The 25,803-nt window shown below is 34.7% G+C and overlaps 1 protein-coding gene across 5 annotated transcripts in view; it reads left to right on the forward strand.

Annotated features, from left to right (window-relative positions):
• Nucleotides 1–25,803, forward strand: part of NDUFS4 (NADH:ubiquinone oxidoreductase subunit S4) — a 122,700-nt gene that overhangs the window by 30,354 nt on the left and 66,543 nt on the right. For 3 of the 5 annotated variants that reach the window (NR_134475.2, NM_002495.4, NM_001318051.2), the window contains one exon: nucleotides 12,460–12,538. Coding sequence is in view for 2 of the 5 variants with exons in the window: in NM_002495.4 (NP_002486.1) it covers nucleotides 12,460–12,538 (79 nt within the window). In the remaining 3 variants the exon portion in view is untranslated. Of the gene's footprint in view, nucleotides 1–12,459; nucleotides 12,539–13,731; nucleotides 13,904–25,803 lie in introns of all 5 variants that reach the window. The other 2 variants (NR_134473.2, NR_134474.2) reach the window with 2 other exon arrangements.

Consider the following 25,803-nt stretch of genomic DNA (forward strand, 5'->3'; position numbering starts at 1 on the left):
TGACTACTTTAGATACCCCATATAAATAGAATCATATACTATTCTTTTGTGATTGGCTTATTTCACTTATCACAATGTCTTCATGGTTCTTCCATGGTGTAGCATATATCATAATCTGCTTCCATTTAAGGCAAAATAATATTCAATTGTATGTATATACCACATTTTGTTTACACATTCATCTGCCAGTGGACAGTAGGGTTGCTTCTGTCTTTTGGCTGCTGTGAATAATGCTGCTATAATCATGAGTGTACAGATATCTGTTCTAGTCCCTGCTTTAGTTTGTCTGAATATAAATCCCAAAGTGAAGCTGCTGGATTATATGGTAATTTTATTTTAAATATTTTGAGGAATCACACTACTGTTTTCTGTAATGGCTGTGTCATTTTACATTCCCACCAGCAGTGAGCAAGTGTTCCATTTTCTTCACATCCTTGCCAGTACTTGCTACTTTTTGTTTGTTTTTTTTGGGGGGGGGGGGTGATAATAACTATCGTAATAAATATGAAGTGGTATCTTATGGTTTTCTTTTTCATTTCCCTAGCACTCTTTTGCATGTTTTTGTGTGGACATATGATTTCAGCTCATTTGGGTAAATACCTAGGAGCACAGTTGCTGATCCTATGTTAAAACTATGTTTTAGCTTTGTAGAAAACTGCCAGACTGTCTTCCAAATTGGCTGTACCATTTCGCATTCCCACCAGCGATGAATGAGACTTCTGTTCTCTTCATCCTTTCTCAAATTTGGTGTGGTATTTTGGATTTTAGCCATTCTAATAGGTGTGTAGCACTGTCATTTTAATTTATAATTTCCTAATGACATATGATATTGAGCACTTTTTCATATACTTATTTATCATCTGTATATCTTCTTTGGTGAGGTGTCTGTTTAGATCTTTTGCCCACTTTTCAGTTGGGTTGTTTGTTTTCTTATTGATGAGTTTTGTTGTTGTTGTTGTTTTGAGACGGGATCTCGCTCTGTTGCCCAGGCTGGAGTGCAGTGTGGCGCAATCTTGGCTCACTGTAACCTCTGCCTCCCAGGTTCAGGTGATTCACCTGCCACAGCCTCTTGAGTAGCTGGAATTACAGGCACGTGCCACCATGCCTGGCGAATTTTTTGTATTTTTAGTAGAGATGAGGGGGTGTGGCAGATTTCACCATGTTGGCCAGGCTGGTCTTGACCTCCTGACCTCAAGTGATCCGCCCGCCTCGGCCTCCCAAAGTGCTGGGATTACAGGTGTGAGCCGCTGCGCCCGGCATTGTTGAGTTTTAAGAGTTCTTTGTTTATTGTAGATAAAGTTTCTTAATCAGATATATAGTTTGCAGATATTTTCTCCTAGCATGTGGCTTGTCTTTTCATTCTTTTAATATTAATAGTATCTTTCACAGAGCTAAAGCTGTTAATTTCAATGAAGTCCAACTTATTTATTTTTCATGGATCATTTTTTTGGCATTGTATCTGAAAACTCAGTACCAAACCCAAGGTCACCTAGATTTTCTCTTACATTATCTTTGAGAAATTTGATTGTTTTGCTTCCTACATTTAGGTTCATGAGCCATTTTCAGTTAATTTCTGTGAAAGGTGTAATGTCACTGTGTAGATTAAGTTTTTGCATGTGGATGTCTGGTTGTACCAGCATCATTTATTGAAGAGACTGTCATTATTGGATTGCCCTTGTTTCTTTCTGAGAGATCAGTTGACTATATTTGAATAGTCTATTTCTGTTCCATTCATCTATTTATTTTATAGCTAATACCACAGTCCTTATTACTATAGCTGTGCAGTGTGTAGTAAGTCTTAAAGTCGGGTAATAACAGTTTTCTGACTTCATTCTTCAGTATTGCATTGGCTATTTTGAGTCTTTTGTCTTTCCATATGAATTTTAGAATCATGCCTGGAATAAATCCTGCTTGGTCATGGTATATAAATCTTTTCATGCATTGTTGAATTTAGTGCTAATATCTGTTAAGAATTTTTGCATCTATATTTATAAGAGAATTAGTCTATAGTTTTCCTTTCCTGTAATGCCTTTATCTAGTTTTGATGTTTGGGTAATGCTGGTCCCATAGAATGAGGTACTACATGCTTCTATTTCCTAGAAGAGATTGTAGAGATTTAGTGTCATTTCTTCCTTAAATATTTGGTAGAATTCACCAGGAAACATCTGGACGTTATGGTTTCTTTTTTTGGAAGGTTATTATTGATTCATTATCTTTAATAGATATAGGCCTGTCCCGATTATTGCTCCTTGTGAGAGTTTTAGTAATTCCTGTTTTTCAAATAATTAGCCCATTTCATTTAAGTTATCAAATTTGTGAGCTTAGAGTTGTTCATAATATTTCCCTGTTTTTTTAATGTCCGTGGGATCAGGAGTGATGATACCTGTTTCATTTTATATATTAGGGCTTTGTCTCTCTCTCTCTCTCTCTCTCATCTGTCTGTTTCTCTTTTTTGTTAACCTGACTAAAGGTTTATCAGTTTTAATGCTCTTTTCAAAGAACAGCTTTTGGTTTTGTTTATTTTTCTTTACCAATTTCCTATTTACAATTTCATTGATGTTTACTATAATTTTTTTTATCTTCTTCTTGCCTTAGGTTTATGTTGCCCTTTTTTTTTTTCTAGTTTCCTGTGGTGGAAGCTTAGATTATTGAATTTAGTTAGACCTTTCTTCTTTTCTAATATATGCATTCAGAGCTATAAGTTTTTCTCTAAGCACTGTTTTTGGTGCATCCCACAAATTTTGAACATTGTATTTTCATTTTCATTTAGTTCAAAATATTTTAAAATTTTTCTTGAGACTTTTTTGACCCATGAGTTATTTAGAAGTGTATTGTTTGATCTCCAAGTAATTGGAGATTTTCTAGTTTTCTGTTACTGATTTCTAGTTTAATTCCATTGCTGACTGAGAGCTTGCATTGTGTGGTTTCTATTCTTTTAAATTAGTTAAGGTATGTTTTATGTCCCAGAATGTGGCCCATCTTGGTGAATGTTTCACTTGAGTTTGAGCAGAATGTGTCTTTTGCCATTGTTAGATAAAGCAGTTGACAGATGCCAGTTATATCCAGTTAATTGATTGTGCTGTTTACTTCAACCATATTCTTAACTGATACTCTGTCTACTGGCTCTGTCAATTACTATTCGAAGAATGTTGAAGTGTCCCACAATAATAATGCATTTCTCCTTGTAGTTTCATCAGTGTTTGCATAGCATATTTTGACATTTTCTTGTTAGGTACATACACACTAACGATTGTTACATCTTGTTGGAGAACTGACCCCTTTATCACTATCACCTTCTTCATCCCTGATAATTTTTCTTGTTCTGGAGTCCCGTTTGTCTGAGATTAATTTAGCTGTGGAAGCAAGATTTGACTAGTGTTAACATGCTATGTCTTTTTCCATCCCTTTACTTTTAGTCTGTGTCTTTATAATTAAAAATGGGTTTCTTTTCAGTAATATGTAGTTGTGTCTTATTTTTTAATCTACTCCGATAACTCTCTTTTAATTGGTATATTTAGACTATTTGCATTTAAAGTGATTATTGATATCATTAATATTAATGTCTATTGTGCTCATATCATCTGCATTCCCTCTCCCTTTTTGGAATGATTTTTCTTTTGCTTTGTAAGCATTTTTTATGTATCCTACAGATTAGTCTTTTATCTACTATATGTTTTACTTATTATCTCTGATTTTTCCTTTATATGAATTTGTTGTTCAGAAATTATTTTTCATTCCTAGTTTGTGGATATTTTGCCTTAATTTGGAAGACTTTAACCACTCAAAAGTTATTAAAACAAACCTCTTTTATACATTATCTCAGTATTTTTTTACACACAGATACACATACATTGCATTTGTATATACGTATGTCTGTGTTTGTGTGTGTGTGTGTGTGTGTGTGTGTATATGCGTTGATTTTTAAATCCATCTGGAATTCTTTGGTACATGATGTAATTCTTTTAGAAAGGGATTCAGACATTATGCTTCCATGAAAGGATGGCCAGTTGTCTCAATATTATTTATTGAATAGCCCACCTTTTCACCACTGATTTAAAATTGTATTTTTATTATGTAATAAATCTACAGATCTGCATAGTCTGCTTTTGTACTCTGATCTGTACTATTTGTTTAATGTATATGTCTGTGCCTGGGCATATACAGGTATTTTAATTACAGTAGTCTGTTACCTGGCAAGGAAATCTTACTTTATTATTGTTTTTCAAATTTCCTTGGTTATTTTTTATGAATTTTTTCTTCTCATGAGACTCACCTAATTTTATAAAAATTCTATTAGGATTTGTATTACTATTGTATTTAATTTATAAGTTAATAATTGACATCTTTGTGGTAAATTGTTTCCAGTTATTAATAACACATGTCAAAGGATAGCAACACAGTTTCTTCCATTAAGGCATTCCAAGCCAGTAGACGTATTCTTCTGTGGCCAAGGTAGCTCAATGATTTGACCTTCTTAAATGTGAACATTTCATATGTTCCTTGTGTTTTGTAATATAATTACTGTCATCACCATGACATCTTTATTTCTTATTCTTCTCTCATGTATATTTATTTTGATAACCTGTTGCTATAAATGTAGATACATTTCTTTCTCCTTTACATTTTCCGTCACACCCTCCGGTTTCTTTGTTAGCATCCTCCAGTATCTTGCCCACATTCTCCTACTTATTACTCTTCAATTCCATTTCAGAGTCTGTTACGTGAACATAATTACCCTTATCCCTCTTGCACAAATCTTTCTTTAATCTGTTGGATGACTCTGAAAGGATTAGTTTCAGTTTGGGGCTTGAGCTGTGTCCAGACACACAACTGCTATTAGTTCCTACCATAGTTCTACCTGGTTCAGAAGAATGAGAAAAATAATCCTTACTTTTTCCTCCTCTATGAGCAGGAGGTGCTTACTTTTTACTGATTTGACCAGCTGAACATTTTAAGATAATATTCAGTACTGTAGATGAAGATTAGAAATTACTGCAAAAACTTTAAGTGAGAATAAAAGAATTTATGGTGTTCTAAAGAGATTTTAAACAAATTATCTTCACTATTGTTTTCTCTAATTTAAACAAAGCATTTGTGGGTTCTTTTCTTTTACTTTTACTCAGTCTGTCTTTCCAGAATGTTAAAATGGTCCCTTAGGCTGGGCTCGGTGTCTCACATCTGTTATCCCAGTGCTTTGGGAGGCCGAGGCAGGAGGATTGCTTGAGCCCAAGAGTTCAAGACCAGCCTAGGCAACATGGTGAAACCATATCCCTATAAAAAAAAACAAAAAATTAGCCGAGTGGGATGGTGTGTGCCTCTAGTTCCAGCTACTCAGGAGGCTGAGGTGGGAGGATCGCTTGAGCCAAGGAGGTCGTGGTTGCAGTGAGCCATGATTGTGCCACTGTACTCCAGCGTAGGTGATAAAGCCATATCCTGTGTCAAAAAGTAAATAATAAAATAAAATAAAATGGTCCCTTGACCTTTTATCTTTAATTTTCCCATTAACAGTTGGTTCTCTCTTTTTTCTATCTAATGAATACAGTATGCTGAAGACAGTTTAAATTTTCTTTATTGATTCAAGATATTGAAAAGCTTCAAGATTATTAACTTGAAAGTTTTCAAAGGTTTAATATCAACACATTTCAGGTGTGAGGAAATTACTGTGGCATGGAGAATATGTATATATTTTATTTCAATTAAAACTCTCAGTAATATTTCCTTATGGCTTAGCATGGAAATACTTTATGATATAAGGTGAGTCTGGGTTAATTTAATTTGTAATAAATTGACAACAAACGTAATTAGTTCTAATCAAAAGGCTAAAGATTGACTCCATAATGGTTTTTATAAGATTAGGAGTTTTATTTTGTCTAAAAGTCCAACACATTATTTCTGGTCCTTTGAAATTACTGGTTCAATTTTAATGTTTATAAAATCATATTCAGTTATTTATAGGGATGTTTTTAAATCTATAGCTGGACACAGACCATCCCAATAGTTGCTTAAAACAACAGTAGTCTTCTGTTTTGCTTACAAATGTACAATTTGGGCAGGTTTTGCCAGGGAAGTTTGTCTGCTCCATGTGGTGTCTGCTGGGATAGCTCAACTTCCACTAGAGGTTTCATGTCCAACATACCTCACCCACATGGCTGGCAAAGTGCTATTGGCTGTCAATTCCTCTTCACAAGGACCTCTCTGTGGGACAGCTTGGTCTTTTTTACAACTTGGTGGCTGGGTTCCAAAAGTGAAACATCCTAAGAAACAATATTCTAAGAGACAGGGAGTGAAAACAGATAGTTTCTTAAGGTCTGATGCTGGAAACACACATAACCTCAGTTTAACTTTCTCATATTGATCAAGGAATCACAGAGCTCCGATTTTAGGAGAACAGGATACAGACTTCAGCTCTTAATGGGAGGGAGGAGCGTCAAAGAAATTTGGAGTCACAGTTTCAAACTGCTACAAGGAATATGGGAATTTTACTAAATTATTCTTAGTTGATAGGTAGTTTCAAAAGGGACATAGTATTAGTACGTTGGGTCAGTAGTGTTGTTTAGATACTATTTTTCAGTGTAATGTTTTAAAAATCTTCACTGTTTAAGACTTTTTGAAAAGTGTATTTTGAAGTGTTAAAAACAATATTTACAAGATCTATATGAAGAAAATTAGAAAACTCTGAGGAAGGATATCAAAGAAGATCCTAATGGATACATGGATAGGAAGACGCTAAGCATCATCCATGAACGAAAAATGCATCAGTTAGGCTTCATTAAGATTAAAAGCTTCTGCTCTGTGAAAGACACTCTAAAGAGAATGAAAGGACAAGCCACAGACTAGGAAGATATATTTGCAAAACACGTATCTCATAAAGAACTATATCTACAGTTAACAAATAATTCTTAAAATTCAACAATAAGAAAACAAGCAACCCAATTAAAAAGTGGGCAAAAGATCTAAGCAGATAACTCACCAAAGAAGATATACAGATGACTAATAATCATATGAAAATATGTTCAACGTCATATGTCATTCGGGAATTACAAATTAAAACAACAATGAAATAGTACTACACACCTGTTAGAACGACTGCAATCCAAAATACTGACCACACCAAATGCTGGCAAGGATGAAGAGAGCAAGAAGTCTCATTTATTGTTGGTGACAATGCAAAATGGTACAGCACTTTGGAAGAGTCTGGCAGTTTCCTACAAAGCTAAAACATAGTCTTAACGTATGATCAGCAGTTGTGCTCCTGGGTATTTACCCAAACAAGTGGCAAATTTAATGTCCACACAAAAACCTGCACATGAATGTTTTTAGCAAAATAACCCCAATGTTCATCAGTGGATGAAGAAAGAAAGAAAATGTGTATATGTATGGTTTTGAAAGATTTTTTTAAAGAAAAACAGATTATTATGTGAGTTGGGTGATTCTTGCATAGGATTTCCACGGGTTTATTAAAACAAAGTAGAACTATCGTCAGTTCCACTTACTAGAATCAAATAGACTGTCATCACTAGAAGAAACTTTAGAGCAACAAGTTCCTCATTTTATGTTTTCAAAAAATAAAATATAAAGGCAGAGGAGTTGAGATTTTCTCATCTACAGCAAAAGATGTTTATATAAATAAATATACTGATAAAAATTTATCTCATATTGTTATCAAGCTGTATGTAAAAGACAACACAATAAAAAAGACAAAAATCTCACCAAACTGTTTTACTTAACCAGAGTTAGAAATAAGGTTTATTGATAAAAACCAGGATTAGAAATAAAGTTTATTGATTTTCATTTTCAGGATATCTCTTTTTCTTTCAGGAAACTTATACAGAAAAACAGAATAAATGGCTTGTACGCTTATAATTACCTTGACCAGTAATGGTAATTAATAATCACAATCACAACCCTCAGAGTTTATCCTTTGGGCTGAGAATTAAGAATGATACTTTACAAACCTGGAAATGTGAGCAGGCCAATTAACAAAACAAATAGATGGACAAAAATAAAGGCAAACCCATGAGGCAAAGAATGTTTTTAAGTTTGTCAAAAATGAATATTAAACAGCAGAGTGAGTAAAATTACCATTTATTTTCTAATGATTACACATTAGTCATTGTTTCTACATGAACACTTACTACTGAGAACACTGTTTTACTGGGTACATTGCCCAGTAAAATATGATTATTAATATTTTGGCTGTTTTTGCTTTTGGCTATTTGAAAAATGCTGCTATAAACATTGGTGTACAAATATTTATTTGAGTCTTCACTTTTAGTTCTTTTAGGTATATACTCAGTAATGGAATTGTTGGATCATAGGATAATTCTGTTTACTTTTTGAGAAACTGCCATACCATTTTCCATAGTGGTAGTACCATTTTACATTCCCATAAGGGTACCAATTTCTATACGTTTCTGTTAATACTTATTTTCTGTTTTTATATACTAAAATGTTGTAAAAGGGTGTAAAATGCTACCTCATTGTGTTTTGATTTGCATTGCTCTAATTAGTTCTGTTGAGCATCATTTCATGTGCTCATTAGCCATTTGTATATCTTTTTTGGATAAATGTTTATTTAGGTGTTTTCCCCATTTCTAATTGGGTTGTTTTGTTGCTGTTTGAGTTCTTCTTTTAAAATTTAGAAATGACCCCCTACTTACTTGTACAAGTTCTTTTACCTCTTTTAGATGTTGATTCCTTACTGTTCTATTTTGTATTATTTTCTTCTTGTCTGTCTTACACTTCACTTACAGTATATTTAGTTTTGATGTTTTTGGTTTTATGTAATAGCTTCTGTCATTTTTTCCTTTATGCTTTCTAGGCTTTATATCTTTTTTTCTTAACAAGGTTTTTGTACTCTTAATATTTTCCTTCCATCTACCATTTCACTGATGTGACATTCCTTACAGGCTAATCAACAAACAGATATTTACTGTATAATTCATGTGTAGTCTAAAATTTACTATAGATTATACTTTGTAGGTATAATTTTTATTTATTTATTTATTTTATTATTATTTTTTGAGACGGAGTTTCATTCTTTGTTGCCCAGGCTGGAGTGCAATGGCACGATCTCAGCTCACTGCAGCCTCCACCTCCCGGGTTCAAGTGATTCTCCTATCTCAGCCTCCCGAGTAGCTGGGGTTACAGGCATGCACCACCACGCCCAGCTAATTTTGTATTTTTAGTGGAGACTGGGTTTCTCCACGTTGGTCAGGTTGGTCTGGAACTCCTGAACTTAGGTGATCCGCCATCCTCGGCCTCCCAAAGTGCTGGGATTACAGGTGTGAGCCGGCCCGCCCGGCCTATTTTTATTTTTTGTTTATTCATTTTTTGAGACAGTGTCTCACTTTGTTGCCCAGGCTGGAGTGCAGTGGTGCGATCTCGGCTCATTGCAACCTCTGCCTCCAGGTTCAAGAGATTCTCCTGCCTCAACCTCCTGAGTAGCTGGGACTACAGGCATGCCCCACCAAGCCCAGCTAATTTTTGTATTTTTAGTAGAGGTGGGGTTTTGTCATGTTGGCCAGACTGGTCTCGAACTCCTGACCTCAGGTGATCCACCCACCTCAGCTTCCTGAAGTGCTGGGATTACAGGCGTGAGCCACTGCGCCCAGCCCGGTAGGTATAATTTATTAAATGCTGTGTTCATAATTGACTGTGGACCTTCGTTGCTACCTTAACTGTCCAGAATTGGAGAAAAACTTTTCTCCACATCTGATATTTGAGTCCTTTAATAATTGTTTTCTGCTTAGAGGGTAGTTTCTTATCACATGATATAACTTACACAAGCACACGTTTTAATTTAGGCAAATTTTTCTGAAATAATTATTGTTTTACATAAAAATTAAAATCACTCTTTGCAATCTAACCTATCTTAAATTTTTTTACAAAAAATTTTTACTGTAACTTTATGGTAGGATTGTTTTACTTAACATTTTTGTCCTTTTTATTGTATTATCTTTTACATACAGCTTGATATAAATTTTTATCAGTGCGTTTGTTTATAATAAATTTTTTTTTTTTTTTTTTTGAGACGGAGTCTTGCTCTGTCGCCCAGGCTGGAGTGCAGTGGCGCGATCTCAGCTCACTGCAAGCTCCGCCTCCCAGGTTCACGCCATTCTCCTGCCTCAGCCTCCGAGTAGCTGCGACTACAGGGGCCCGCTGCTACGCCCGGCTAATTTTTTGTATTTTTAGTAGAGACGGGGTTTCACCGTGTTAGCCAGGATGGTATCCATCTCCTGACCTTGTGATCCGCCCGCCTCAGCCTCCCAAAGTGCTGGGATTATAGGCATGAGCCACCGCGCCCGGCTACACATGTTTACAAAAGATGTTATATAACTTTATTATTACAATTAGTTGGAGGTTAACCTAAAATTATTAAAATAAACCTATCCTTAAAGTAAATTATATATGGTTTTATAAATTAAGAACTTTACTTTGGATTACAACTAATATATACTAAGATTTTCTTAAACAATTAGGACATAATCGTTTTAAGTTAAATCCCCTTTGTAGTAAAAAATTGCACAAAATGGGTACAGAGTTTTAATCTACCTAATAATTTGCACTGTTTTCATCTAACAGGTCTCTTCATTTGAGAAAATATAGTGTAGCTTTTCACGGTTTTAGTTACCCACGGTCAGCTGTGGTCCAAAAATATGCAGTGGAAAATTCCCAAAACAAACAATTTATGAATTTAATATTTGCTCCATTCTGAGTAGTGTGATGAAATCTCATGCCGTCCAGCTCTGTCTCACCCAGGATGTGAATCATCCCTTTGTCTAGTGTATCCAGGTTGTATAGGATACCTGCGTTAGTCAGAACTTAGTAGCCATCTTGGTGATAAGATTGACCGTCTCAGTATTGCAGTGCTTGTGTTCAAGTAACCTTTATTTTACTTAATTGATCTGTTTTATTATTAGTTATTGTTAATTTATTACTGCCTAATTTGTAAAGTAAACTTTATCATAGGTGTGTATGTATTAGAAAAAACAGTGTATGTAGGGTTCAGTTCTATTAACAATTTTAGGCATCCACTGGGCGTCTTAAAATGTATCGTACAAGGATGAGGGGGAGCTACTTACTGCATTTAGAAAATGTGATAACATTTTCTGATATTTCAGATTCTCATGAGTTCACTTATCATTACCCAATGTTTTTCTTGTAATATGTGGATTTGTTTAAAAGTATTTAAATTTTTTAATTGCCATGTTACTGACCTTAATGATTTCCAAAATAAAATAGGTATTAAGAGTTGCTTAATTATACTTCTTTAATATAACAACCAGGACATGTATTTTAACTTTGTGTAAATCATCTAGAGTTATTTCCATGTTAGTACATTTTGTGTAGGTATATTTCTGAGTGGGGCATTTACAGTGATAAAGAATTACATAATACCTTAAATTTGGTAAATAATTGACAGATATTTTAAAGTATATTCATAAAGCAGTAAAACCTCTTGTATTATGTTATCTTTAAATTATAATTAAGAAGGTTTTCTATATGGCTGTGTACACATTATCAAAATTGAACTTTTAGCACAAAAAGTTCAACTATTTGTATCAGTTATTTTTGTCAATTATTGGTTATTATGTTGCATTAAAACTATGGTAGTGAATATATTGTATTAAAAAAAAGAAAGGACCAAATGCCATATATTTGGGGTGGAAATTTGAGCCACAGTTGTGTATACTTACTTTTGCAATAGAAATCTATGTCAGATAGCCTAATAGTTTGGAAAACTCTTAAGATGCTAAAATGTCACAGCACAGTCAGGGATATGTATGACATTCAGTAGTATAAACAACAAAGTGTACATGAAACGTCCGTTAACGTTAAGTAATTGGAGTGAGAGTAGGAAAATGCTAATATAAAGGGGCTAGATTCTCTGCCCATTTTACGTCTAACTTAATATTTTCATTTTAACTAATTTTATTTCTCCCATTTTGTGAATGGGCTACAGGACTAAACTAATAACATTAGTTATACAAATCATTCCTATGTAAAATACTTTTGGTGTGAAATTAGAGTGAATAAACTTTTTATTATGATTGGGATTTTTTTCTTTTCGTTTCTGATGCCATCCGTTTAAGAATCAGTGTTCCAGAACAATTGGTATAGCTTTGCATGTTTCTGGCTGGTCGTGACAAATCAGCCACTGTACACTCATAGACAGCAGTACAGTACTTGTCACTGGTGGCCTTTCTGTGACAGAGAGCCTGAAGACTGACGTAAAGCGCAGCCTGTTGTGAACTGTCAAGTGAGTCTGCCAAAAACTCAGCAGACAGAACTAATTGCAGAGAAAAAGGACTTTTGTGCCCTCTTCTCTTTCTTTCCTTTCCTTTTTTTTTTTTTTTAATAAGACAGATATTGTTAAAGTAGCTTGTTTATGTAAGATTTGTCTGTCTCTCCTCTCATTGCCTGGATCCTTTTTTAACTTAAAGTCTTGCACTGCAGGTCGTTGAGGACTTCCACATGGAGATTGGCACAGGACCAGACTCAAGACACACAACTCATAACAGTTGATGAAAAATTGGTAAGGATTTTCTACTACACACTGCTATGGTTCTGCCTTCAGGGTTATTTTTGTACTATAGATATTCAGTATGGTGTTCCAGGTTTTCAGGAAAGTGATTTGAATTTGAATTTCTAGATTATACCTAAATTTTAAGAAGAAATATTTGTCATCAAAAGATAATTTATATTAAGCATTATAAACAAATACAAAACCATATGCAAATATTAATAAATTAAAATTATGAAAGGTTTTCATTTTTGTGGTGTTTATAACTAGCAGAACATTCATTACTTTTTGTAATGAATGTTTTGCTTTTTATTTTCTCAGTTACACTCCTATTTAAGTTGTGAGATACTTGCTAGTACTATCTAAAACTAAATATATTAGGTTTTCTTGGAAGCATGCAACATTTATTATCACTATATGTATATATGTATATGCATACAAACACATACACACACATTTTATTTCTTCATATGTATGAAGAAATAACTAGCAAGCAACTAGCAAACAACTAGCAAGACCAGCAACAAATGAGTAATAATGTTTTGTGAATCAGTAACAAACAGAATTTTGGCAGCCATCACTTATAAAATATTTTAGAGTGTGGTCTGTTACTTTACATGCAACTTTATATTTATGCTTCAATAGCATACATTTTGTAATGTTTCCAAAACTTCTGATAGAAATGAGTAATTGTATATGTGTGCTTTTCATTTTATATCTGGTTTACCATTATCAGTGTTTCTTAACTACCCCCTTTATTATTGTACAGTATTTTATCACTCAACTTTGAGCCTGTAAGCCCAATCTAAGTAATAGGTCACACTTAAATTTCTATTTGCACCATTAAAGATACAGACAAATAAATGTATAAGTAAATAGAGACAGTTTGGAAAATTCACATCTTGTGCTGACTGGTTTTATTTTAAAATTATCTCTTCAGTTTACCTACTGACATTGTCATCATCCTGATCTAGGTTACATCATCTTTCACCTAGATTTCTACAGTAGTCTTTGACCTGATCTCCCTAGACTCTTTAATCCTAATCTGATTAATTTTCCTTAGGATGCCAAAATAGTCTTTGAAATGCTGGTATTGTCACCCTCTTTTCGTCCTTTGGTGCTTCCTGTTGCCCTTAGAGTAAACACTAAAATCCTAACATGGTCTTTGACGTCTTGCCTGATTTAGCTCCTGCCTTCCTCTCTAGGTTTATCTTGTACCACTGTGTTTTACATTCTGTGGTCTAGCCACACCAAGCCTGGAACTTGCTACTCTTTTTCCTGCTTCAAGGCATTTGGAGTTCCTGTTCACTCTACCTGGATGCATTTTAACTAATCCTGAGGACTTCATCCGGTCACCATCTACCTATTCTTCAAATGGTAATCAAACACCACTTGCTTAGTCAAGTATAAAAGAAATGAGGGGCAGGGCATGGTGGCTCATGCCTGTAATCCCAGCACTTTGGGAGGCTGAGGCGGGTGGATCACGAGGTCAGGAGTTCGTGACCAGCTTGACCAACATGGTGATACCCCGTCTCTACTAAAAATACAAAAAATTAGCTGGGCGTGGTGGCGGGTGCCTGTAATCTCAGCTACTCAGGAGGCTGAGGCAGGAGAATCGCTTGAACCTGGGAGGTGGAGGTTGCAGGGAGCCGAGATCGCACCATTACTCTCCAGCCTGGGCAACAAGAGTGAAACTCAGTCTGAAAAACAAAACAAAAGAAATGAGGCAGTTATGTGTGTATGAAGTGAGGATGATTTTCACATCCTGTGTGTTCATTAATGAGAGCACTATTATTTTAATTTTTCCTATGAGCATCTTTTTTTAACTCTCAGGAGGTTGCCTTTTCTATAAAGTTTTCAAATTTTAGAGTTCACTAATAACTCTTCTAAGTTCTCTTCTTTCTAGTTTGAAGAATGAGTGAGTCAGCCAGTAATACATTGCCCTAAACAGAGTGCTATGAAGCATACAAGAGAGGTAGACAGACTGGATTGGTTTGGTATTTTTAATTATATGTCATAAAATCGGTTGCATACTGTTGAATTTTCTTGCCCTACCTAGATTTTCCCCAGCTTTGTTATACCTTTCTTGAAGTAATAGTTGTCCCTCAGTACCTGTAAGGGGATTGGTTCTAGGACTCCCCTCAAGTACCAAAATCCGTGGATGCTTAAGACCTGTGTTAGACTGTTCTCATATTGTTATAAAGAAATACCTGAGGTGGGACGCAGTGGCTCGTGCCTGTAATCCCAGCACTTTGGGAGGCTGAGGCGGGCAGATCACAAGGTCAGGAGATCGAGACCATCCTGGCTAACATGGTGAAACCTCATCTCTACCAAAAATACAAAAAATTTGCTGGGCGTGGCGGTGTGTGTCTGTAGTCCCAGCTGCTGAGGAGGCTGAGGCAGGAGAATGGCGTGAACCTGGGAGGCAGAGCTTGCAGTGAGCCAAGATTGCGCCACTGCACTCCGGCCTGGGCGATAGAGCGAGACTCCGTCTCAAAAAAAAAAAAAAAAAAAAATTAGCCGGGCATGGTGGTGGGCGCCTGTAGTCCCAGCTACTCAGGAGGCTGAGGCAGGAGAATGGTGTGAACCTGGGAGGCGGAGCTTGCAGTGAGTGGAGATGGCGCCACTGCACTCCAGCCTAGGTGACAGAGCGAGACTCTGTCTCAAAAAACAAAACAAAACAAAACCTGAGATTGGGTAATTTATAAAGAAAAGAAGTTTAATTGGCTCATGGTCCTGCAGGCTGCACAAGCATGGCACCAGCATTGCTCGGCTTGTGAGGAGGCCTTAGGGGACCTTTTACTCATGGTGGAAGGTGAAGTGGGAGCAGGCACATCATATGACAAAAGCAGGTGCAAGGGACAGGGTGGTGCCATACACTTTCTGTCATCCAGGCTGGAGTGCAGCGGCGCGATCTCGGCTCACTGCTACCTCCGCCTCCCAGTTCAAGTGATTCTTATGCCTCAGCCTCCCGAGTACCTAGGATTACAGGTGCCCGCCACCACGCCTGGCTAGTTTTTGTACTTTTAGTAGAGACGGTTTCACCCTGTTGGCCAGGCTGGCCTCAAACTCCTGACCTCAGGTAATCCACCTGCCTCGGCCTCCCGAAGTGCTGGGATTACAGGCATGAGTCACCGTGCCCACTGCCATACACTTTTAAATAACCAGATCCCATAAGAACTGACTATCACTAAGACAGCACTAAGCTCTGCATGAGAGATCTGCCTCCATAACCTAATCACCTCACATCCGTCCCCACTTTCAACATTGAGGATTACATTTCAACATGAGAGTTGGGCAGGGACAAATATGCAAACTGTATCAAGTCTTATATCAAATGGCATAGTATTTGCATATAACCTATGCATATTCTCCCATATACTTTAAATCATCTCTAGATTACTTACAATACCTAATACAGTGTAACTGTTATATTGTACTGTTTAGAGAATAATGACAAGAAAAAAGGAGGTATACGTTCAGTACAAATACAACCATACTTTTTCTTTTTTCAAATATTTTTTACCTGCAGTTGATTTAATCCACAATACAGAAGGCACAGATATGGAGGCCTGACTGTAGATCAGACCAGAATGTCACTATGGTTTTCCAGCTGAAATCAATTGGTTATTATCTTTGGTACATGGCAGACATTTTCTTGAAAATGAACCTGTCACTTCAAGGAGGTGTTGCCCATGATACACTTCAAGCGCAGTGATAGTTTTTCAACCGTTGTGCCCATCTCTCCTTCCCAGAACGGTCTTTAAATACTAGAAAGATGTCAAGCTCAATCACATCCATGGCAGAATTAAGTTCTATAAAAATTCTAACATTGTGTACTATGCTCAATACTTGGTTGATGGGATTTATCTGCCACAAATCTCAGCATCACAAAATATACCCAGGTAACAAACATGCACATGTACCTCTTGAATCTAAAATTAAAAATTGAAATTCTGTAAAAAAAAGAAAAAAAAGACTGTTCTAGTGGGATTGGTAATGACACTAACGGATGTGATTTTTGATACTGTGTAATGCAATATATTAACGTTTGGAATATCTATATACCTCTATGAACTAGTATTTTTCGTATGACCAGTGCATGATATAAAATCATGCATGGGTAAAAGTTTCCTTTAAAGTACAAAATAGAGCAATGGATTTTAAGTAATCAAGTATGAAAATATTAAGGCTATGAATATTTTGCTCCTTTTTCTAACTACATATCTGTATGATAATGAGTTTTCTTCATATATTGCAATAAAAACAATCCACCAAAACAGTTTGAATGCAAGAACAGATGTTAGAATTCAGCTGTCCTCCATTAAGCTAGATAGTAGATTTTCAAACGAGTGCCAAAATGCAAATGAGTGCCACTCTTCTCACTTTTCAGTTTTCAAAAATAGAGTTTTTTAAATTAAAATCTTTATATTATTACATAACTGGCTTATTTTACATTAAATTTATATTGTTTTCTTCATTTTAATTTATTATGTGATAGATATTTATGGATATACAGGCATACTTTGAAGATATTGCTGGTTTGGTTCCAGACCACCACAGTTAAGCAAATGCCACAATAAAGTGAGTCATGAAATTTTGTTTTGGCTTCCCAGTGCATATAAAAGTTATGTTTCTACCACACTGAGGTCTGCTAAGTGTGCATTAGCATTATGTCTAAAAAATAATGTACATACCTTAATTTTAAAACACTTTATTGCTCAAAAATGCTAACGATCAGCTGAGCCTTTAGGGAATCGTAATCATTTGACTGGTGGAAGGTCTTGCCTCCATGGTGGTGGTTGCTGAAGGTTGGGGTGGCTGTGGTAATTTCTTAAAATAAGACAACAGTGAACTCTGACACACTGATTGACCCTTCCTTTCATGAAAAATTTCTCTGTAGCATGTGACACTGTTTGATATCATTTTACTCACAGTGGAACTTCTTTCAAAATTGGAATCAAGCCTCTTAAACCCCACTGCTGCTTTATCAACTAAGTTTATGGAATAATCTAAATCCTTTGTTGTCATTTCAGCAACGTTCACAGTCTTTATCAGGAGTAGATTCTGTCTCAAGAAACGACTTAGCTCATGCATGAGAAGCAACTTCTGATTTGTTCCAGTTTAATCATGAGATTGTAGCAATTTAATCACTTGTTTAGGCTCCACCCACCACATCTGCAGTGACTTCCTCCACTAAAGTCTTAGATCCTTCAAAGTCATTCATGAGGGTTGGATTCAACTTCTTTCTTTTTTGTTTTTGTTTTCCCATATTGAATCAATATTTATTTCAGGACATGCCATGTCAAAATAAAACAAAGATTCAACTCTTGCCTTTAACAATTGTATTGTATTATAAAAGCACTTTACAACTCCATCCCATGTTTAAGTATAAGTTACTGGCATGTGGGCTAATGATTATCTGTAAGCATTTCTCTATTCAGATCCATAATCTAGGTGCTCTCTGAATATTACAAGGTGACAATAAGTGGGAAGTGGAGGAGGAAGAGGAAAGAGAGGGGACTAAGGTTCTCCCAGTTTAAGGTTTTGGACTCAGTTTCTTTCAAACGCGTGCTAATGTTGCTATTTTCATCTCCTATGAGTCACAAATGTTCTTAGTGGCATCTTGAATGGGGAATCCTTTCCGGAAGGTTTTCAATTTACTTTGTTCAGATCCATCAGAGGAATCACTATGGTAGCTATAGCCTTATGAAATGTGTTTCCTAAATAATAAGACTCAAAAGTCAAAATTACTCCTTGGTCCACGGGCTGCAGAGTGGATGTTGTGTTAGCAGGCATGAAAGCGACACCCTTGTACATCTCCATCTTGGGTGACCAGGTGCATGGTCAGTGAGCAGTAATATTTTGAAAATAATCTTTTTTTCTGAGCAGTAGATATTGACACTGGGCATAAAATATTTAGTAAACCATGCTGTAAACAACTGTGTTGCCATCCAGGCTTTGTTATTCATTTATAGAGCAGAGGCAGAAGAGATTTAGCATAATTCTTAAGGGCCCTAGGGTTTTCAGAATGGTCAGTGAGCACCGGAATTGCATTAGCCTCTAAGAGTCAGCCTGTCCTTTGAAGCTTTGAAGCCAGGCGTTGACTTCTCTCTAGCTATGAAAGTCCTAGCTGGCATCTTCTTCTGATACAAGGCTGTACATTGAAAATCTATTGTTTAGTATAGCCACCTTTATCAGTTATCTTATCTAGATCTTCTGGATCACTTGCTGTGGCTTCTCTGTCAGCACTTGGGCCTTCACCTTGCACTTTTATATTATATAGATGGCTTCCTCCTTAGACCTCATGAGCCAACCTCTGCTTTCCTCCCCTCTCAGTCTTCAAAGAATTGAAGAGACTTAGGGCTCCTGGCTCTAGATTAGACTTTGAATTAAGGGAATGTTGTAGCTGGTTTGATCTTCTATCCACTGAAACTTTCTCCAGTTAGCAATAAGGCTGTCTCTTTAGCCTTCTTATCATTCATGTGTTCACTGGAATAGCATTTTTAATTTTCCTCAATAACTTTTCCTTTGCATTCACAACTTGGCTGTTTGGTGCAAGAGGCCTGGCTTTTGGTCTGTCTAGGTTTTTGACATGCCTTCTTCACCTAGCTTAATCATTTCTAAATTTTTACTTAAAGTGAGAGACATGAGACTCTTCCTTTCACTTGAACTCTTATTGTTGGGTTATTAACTGGCCTAATTTCAATATTGTTGTCTCAGTGAATAGAGAGGCCCAAGGAAAGGGTGAGGTACGAGGAAATGGCTTGTCAGTGGAGGACACACACAACCTTTATTAATTTAGTTTGCTATCTAATATGGACGCAGTTTGTGGCACCCCAAAACAATTACAATAGTAACATCAAAGATCACGGATCACAGAGCACCATAACACATACAATGCAAAAGTTTGAAATATTGGGAGAATTGTCAAAATGTGACACAAAGACTTGAAATGAGCACACACCAGTAGACCTCAACAGAGGGTTGCCAGAATCCTTAAATTTGAAAAAACAAAAACATAAAAAAACAAAAAAAAAGAAGCACCATTAATCTGTGAAGCACAGTAAAGCAAAGTTCATAAAATGAGGTATGCCTGTATCTTTTATAAACAAAACCTTGGAGTCCCAGTAGTTTTTAACAGTATAAAGGAATCTCAACATCAAAAAGCTTGCGAATCATTCTCCTAAGTCTTCTCTTTTCTGGGTTAAACATCGCCAGGGCTTTGATTTATTTCATATGAGTTCCAGTTAATTAATCATCTTGATTGCCATCCAGTTTGAATCTCTTTTAAAATGTTTTTGCCAGAATTTTTCATACTACAGATGTGGTGCAGGTTGTGGTGGGGATTATTGCCTTTATTCCTTTTAATCATCGCAGTTCTAGTAAGGCAACTTTAAATTTAGGTTGTCATACTTATGTGGATTTCATGGAGAGCTAAAACCTCAGATTCTCTCTTTTGTGTGCTGTTATCAAGTCGTGTTTCTTTTCATCCATCTTTAGTATATGATCATTATTTTTAACATATTCACAGAGTCACTCATAGGACATCTTACCCAGTAAAGCTTATTTTATTTTTTTACTGTTACATTTTAGAATTTTCTATACAGTATACAATAAATTACAAGAATTTTCATAGTACTTTGTGGATGTCAGTGCTAATACAAGTACAAAGAAAAACTTGTGGTTTTTTTTTTTTTCTGGGCATCAATTATGTATCAACAACATGTATCTTATCTTTTTTTTAGGCATAAAATGTAGAAAGGAAAAGTCTGCTTAGCATTTTCTAGTGCAAGAATCTATTCTTTCATTTTGGAACTATATACAATGTTAACATTGTTGAGTACAAATCTTCAGATAATAAAATTGTGGCAAATCCTGGATTATTGTTAATAAAGAATATGGCCTCAGAGTACTTTCTATGTTTCTAATTAGTCAATTTTAGTTTGTTGTGTATAAACTGCTAACCTTTTTACCCTTGAAACTAACAAGAATGTAAATATCAAAAGAGTAGATGACAGCATCTGAAAATAATCCTGTAAGCTTATGTTTAGAAGCACAATGCTTAAAAAAAAAAACTTTTTGTGGACTGTACCATTATTTCCTAATATATGATACTTCCTACAGATACTAAGGAGATCTTATAAATGGTTGTTTGCTTGGCCCTTGGTTTTTGTTGCAGGAGGAGCTGTGCCATGAGGTTAGGTGAAGAATGTCTTTGCCTTTGTGCTTTATTATGAGGGTAACTTTTTTTTCTTTATGCCTCCCTCCACCTCAGTCTCCTTTCAGGACATTTGATGAATACGCAAGTCCAATGAACATGTTGTCTTTTTTATATTCACTTCAGCTATACAAAAGAGAGAAGTTAAATTTGCAATGCTCTTTAAAGATTTTGAGTAGGTACTCCCCTAAAAAACAACCAAAATATTAATTAGTCCTACATAGGTATACCTTCAATTTGCTTTCTGATCATTTTTTTAGCCCATTTTTTACACACTGATTCCTATAACTATTTAGTACAGTTAAAATATTACTAAGAAAATAGAAAAATACCCTCAGAAAATATAGTAGTTTCAATTTATTAGTAAAAATGACACAAAATAAGCTTTAATAGTTTAGACATTACATATATTGTTTTTATATAAATTATGTTGGCTGCTATCTCTCCTTCATTCTTTGTTTATTTATTCAATAAATACTTACATATGCCAGGCACTATGCTTCAGTGTTGTATTGACACTTTACATTGTTTTCATTTATATGCTAAGTTATTTTGTTTAAAAACTATTAAGCACCACCTGTTTTAACTTTTACAAAGGTAGTATAGTTAGTTAGATATGCATCCTCAATTTAAATATATGTGAAAAAGGAAACTTTTTATTTAGCAATCTGTAAAACTTAAATCTTTTGGGAGTGTGTGGAGTGAGGAAGGACATCTATTATTTCAAAACTTTTTTGAGAAATTATAGCACAATGCTATTAATGTAAAATCCTAATAGTTTTGACATTTTTAGCACTCTAATAATATCTTTATTTAAAAATCAGGTGTGCCTGTAAAACAAATGTTGTCAGTATTCTGAATGTTGCCAATTGGTTGTATTTTGCTACTTGAAAATTTCTTCCAAATAGCAATTAAACAGCACTTAAGCTTTGGTACTTGCTGAGGCTTGCAATAAATAAATCGCTGTTTGATTAATTAGCACACGGTACTGGTAGCATGCTCAGCCGATGAGGTTTTAATATTGCTGTGTTAGAATGTCTGTAAGCAGCAGCAAGTTATTTAATACAATTTTTTTGTCAATTTGTAATAGTTAAAAACATTTTATTACTCGAACTTATTCTAAGAAGTTTGTAAAATTGAATGGTTTTTGCAAGTCTTCGAAAATAAAACAACTACGTTTGCTGTACAAGTATTTGTTGGTTTTATGTTGTTTTTTCTTCCTGACATACTAAAAGTTTATAGATGAAAACTTATATAAGTCTGCAAACTTGAATTAAAAATTGATCATTAAGAGGTGACCTACACAAAAAGATAACCTTAAGTTAAAGGCTTACTTTTGCTTTGACTGTTTACTTTTTTTTTCCCCCTCTAAGGGGTCAGTTTTCTTTTGGTGAGATTACTTTCTTTTGGTGTATGGCAGTGCTATCTCTGCTAGATTACTGGAAGGAGTAGTGTCTGCGATTGGGGTTATACAGCTTTCTAGCATCTCAAGTGTCTGTTTTGTCTGGACTTTACTCACGCAGCATTCTTGTGCAAAAATTTCAAGGCTTTAGTCTGGAGCACTGGGTCAAAGGATATGTCTCTTTGAAGGGTAGACAGGAGTTTTTTATGTTTTATTCACTAAGTAGTATTTCATTTTACATCAAAGAATAGCAGCCTTTGAGAACCTACCATGGTGGCAGTTTAGCGTGTGGGTTTTTTTCTTTAAGACTTTCACTAAATATGTATAATGTTTCTTCAAGTGTTTCATCCTACAAAATGCCTATTTTTATTCTTAGATGAAACTTCTAATATAAAAAGAGAAGAATCATGACTAAATATAAATGTTTGTTGCAATAAATTTTGTTTTAAAAGCAACTATAGTTTTTTTTTTTTTACAATGTATTTCCCTGTGTCAGTTTTTACACTACCCACAAGCTATTGAAAAAAAAAAAAATGGATGAATAGCCTTTAAGATTGCAGCAATACTGTTGCTTAAAATTCTAAGGAAGCAGTAATGACTAGTGATTTTGGAAGTGTAGATTTCATAGTGAAATGGTCATTCCTTAATTGTTCCTTTTTTAGTACTGTCATGTGTGTATGTAGGAGAGATTGATTTTGAAAAATACCAGACTCAAGTAATGGAAAATGTTAAGACTTCTTGAAGCTAGAAGGAAAGCTCTTCTTTTTGTACTTTTTGTGTAAGTTAATCAGTAAATAATCATATAAAAAGTGATTGCTTTACATGTTTGGAAGATTATTACATTGTATTTCATATTTTTGTCTCATGACATGTATCTATAAACATGAACTAATATTAAAAGTTTTTTATGTTTATAAATAAAACATGCTCTTAAATAGTTGAAAGTTTATCAAAACAGTTAATCATTTAAAATGAATTTTTTCTACTCTCCTTGATGTAATTTTAAAACCTGTTATATTTAACTATGATGATCATTAAAACAAGTCAGTTATTATTTTTCAAATGTAATTATTTCTAAATTCTTTAGATAAATAAAATTCTGCAGAACTTTGTTGTTTAAAATATATGCTTATTGAAATGCTATTTTTATGTAGTATCAAGCTGTGTAAAACTTACATGTACTAAATATCACAAAGAAAATGAATGTTAAGTATTACAGTTTTTATATACAGACAGGAACCATTAAAACTTAGAGAATGATCGTTCTATATTTAAATTGTTTAAGGAACAAAAGATCTTTCCCCTACAGTATTCAGCCATCTCTATTATCTGTGATTCTTCAGCAATTAAAGCAGATTTATTTCCCTCTTTGTTCCTACTTGGAATACTTGAACAATACTGGAGAATTGAACTGACTGAAATGTTTTATCTTTCAAAAGGTTTAAAGTTCTATGTACCAATTAGCAAAATACAGTAAAGGTTTAAACTGTTAATAGCCACAACATCTTTAATGCATAGACCTGTAGTATGCTAGTGCTGTATAACAGTTCTCCATTGTGTGTCTCTTTTAAGCAGAGTAACTGTGTCAGTTCTTTTCTTGCTTTACTACCTGCTGTGTATGGAAATTGTGTATCGTACTTGACACTTGCTTTCAAGAATTTAAAATTCTTGCATGTTATTATGTAGGAAACTTTGGCTCTCAAGAAAATAGAATTGATAATATTTCATTTGTTTGGATTTTAAGTTTAGGTTTTTTGTCATATTCTAGAGAGTACTCATTTATATCTGAAAATACATTATTAGTCTATTACTCATTAGTGAATTTGAAGTACATAAACTGTATGTTATCTCCTTGAAAATTGCTTATCTAATTTTTTTCATTTAACTGAATATAATTATAAAGAAACCATCAAATTTATGGTAGGGTATGCAGATAGATCCCTGATGCTTTATTTTACACTCTATTTGAATTTGGTTTTGGGTTTTTTGTTTTGTTTTGTTTTGGTCTTTTTGGTAGTAAATAGTACTTTGTTTTTAAAGTTATAGCTCTTGAATTAGCCAGCTTGCCAGATAAGTTTATAACTCAAGAATTAATCCAAATACTTAAACTTGTTAAAGCCTTATATCTGCCATTTTGTAGTAAGTTCTCAATGAAGGTAGGGTGAGAGGAGGTAAAGAAATAGAAGTAGTATCTTTTGGTGACAATTATATTTTCTTTTTATATCATGTATCTCAGAATAGAATTAGAGCAAAAGAAAGGAGAACGTAGACTTTAAAATTTGAGACTAGCAAACTTTGATTCTATTTCTGTGTTCAGGTTTTCTAATTTTATATGACCTAGTGTCTGCTTCTATTCTACTCTTCAAAATACCACCTGCAAGCATGTGAGATATTCATGTTTTATAAGATGGGGAAGTTTGAAAAATAGGGCAGTGATATGGAAGCTTTACTGTATGCAGTATACTATGTCTCCACAAAACTGCTTCTTTATAAGGCATACTTTTCTAGAAATGTGTGAATAGGCTTTTTGTTCAGTTGCTGTTTCATGTTTAATACTTTACTTCTAAAGGCTTTCAGCATATTTCATGTTAGTTGATGAGGGTTTTTAAAATGTTAATGCTTCCAATAAAATAGACATGAAAAATAAACTTGGCTTTCTCTAAACAACATATAGGATACAGAAATATACCAAAATGTTGGGCTGAGAATGCTAACTTAAAGAACTGAGGATCTGATTAGTGTACCGATGTACATCTATTCCAGTGATTACTGAGTATATATTGTGTAAATTAAGATGTATCCATTAAAGATAATTTTTAAACCTAATTGGGTAGTTTAAGATTTGACATCCAAAGAATTAAAACAAGATTTCTGATTTAGTATGCATTATAATATCTTAAACATTCAAATATGGCAGCTATAGCCTGTGCCTAGGTTGCTCTGAGATTAGAAGTCCTCTAGATCTAGTAGTTTTCATCTAGGACAATCTGTAGTTGTGAAGATCATTCAAGATATTTTTTTACTTGTCTCTTATTTATAATGTAAAATATTATTATCCTTTCCTTCATTCATTCAATTTTTTTTTTTTAGCATATTCTAGGCCCTGGGGATGTAGCTATGAACAAAGCACAACAACCATGTCCTTAGAGCTTATATTCTCATGCTTAAGCATATGCCAGCTTTATTCATAAATAATTATGGTATTTTTCATAGATTATGAATATTATGGAAAAAACAAAGCTAGGTGATGAGACAGAGAATAGCTGGGGTTTGGGTGGAATAGGGGTCATTTAAGTAGGGCAGTCAACGAAACCCACTTTGAGATGTTGTGCTGTGTGAATTAAGATCTGAATTGATGAGAAAGAAGCAGCTGTGTGAGTATCTAAGGTAAGAGCATTTTGAGTAAAGGGAAAAGCTAATGACCAAAAGTGTAGCTGGTAGTAGTCAAATAACAGACGGAAAGATATGACATAATAAGAAAGGAGGAGAATGATATAAAATGAGATCAGAGATGTGGGCAGGAGCTGGATCAGGTAAGAAGGCTCTTTAGGCCCATAGTAAGAAATTTGAATATTATTTGAATTATAATGAGAAGGCTTTATATAATTCTAAGTAGAAAAGTGGTTTGATCCGATTTACTTGTAAAAGCTAGAA

This window comes from Homo sapiens, chromosome 5 (assembly GCF_000001405.40).
Source record: "Homo sapiens chromosome 5, GRCh38.p14 Primary Assembly".
NCBI lineage: Eukaryota > Metazoa > Chordata > Mammalia > Primates > Hominidae > Homo > Homo sapiens.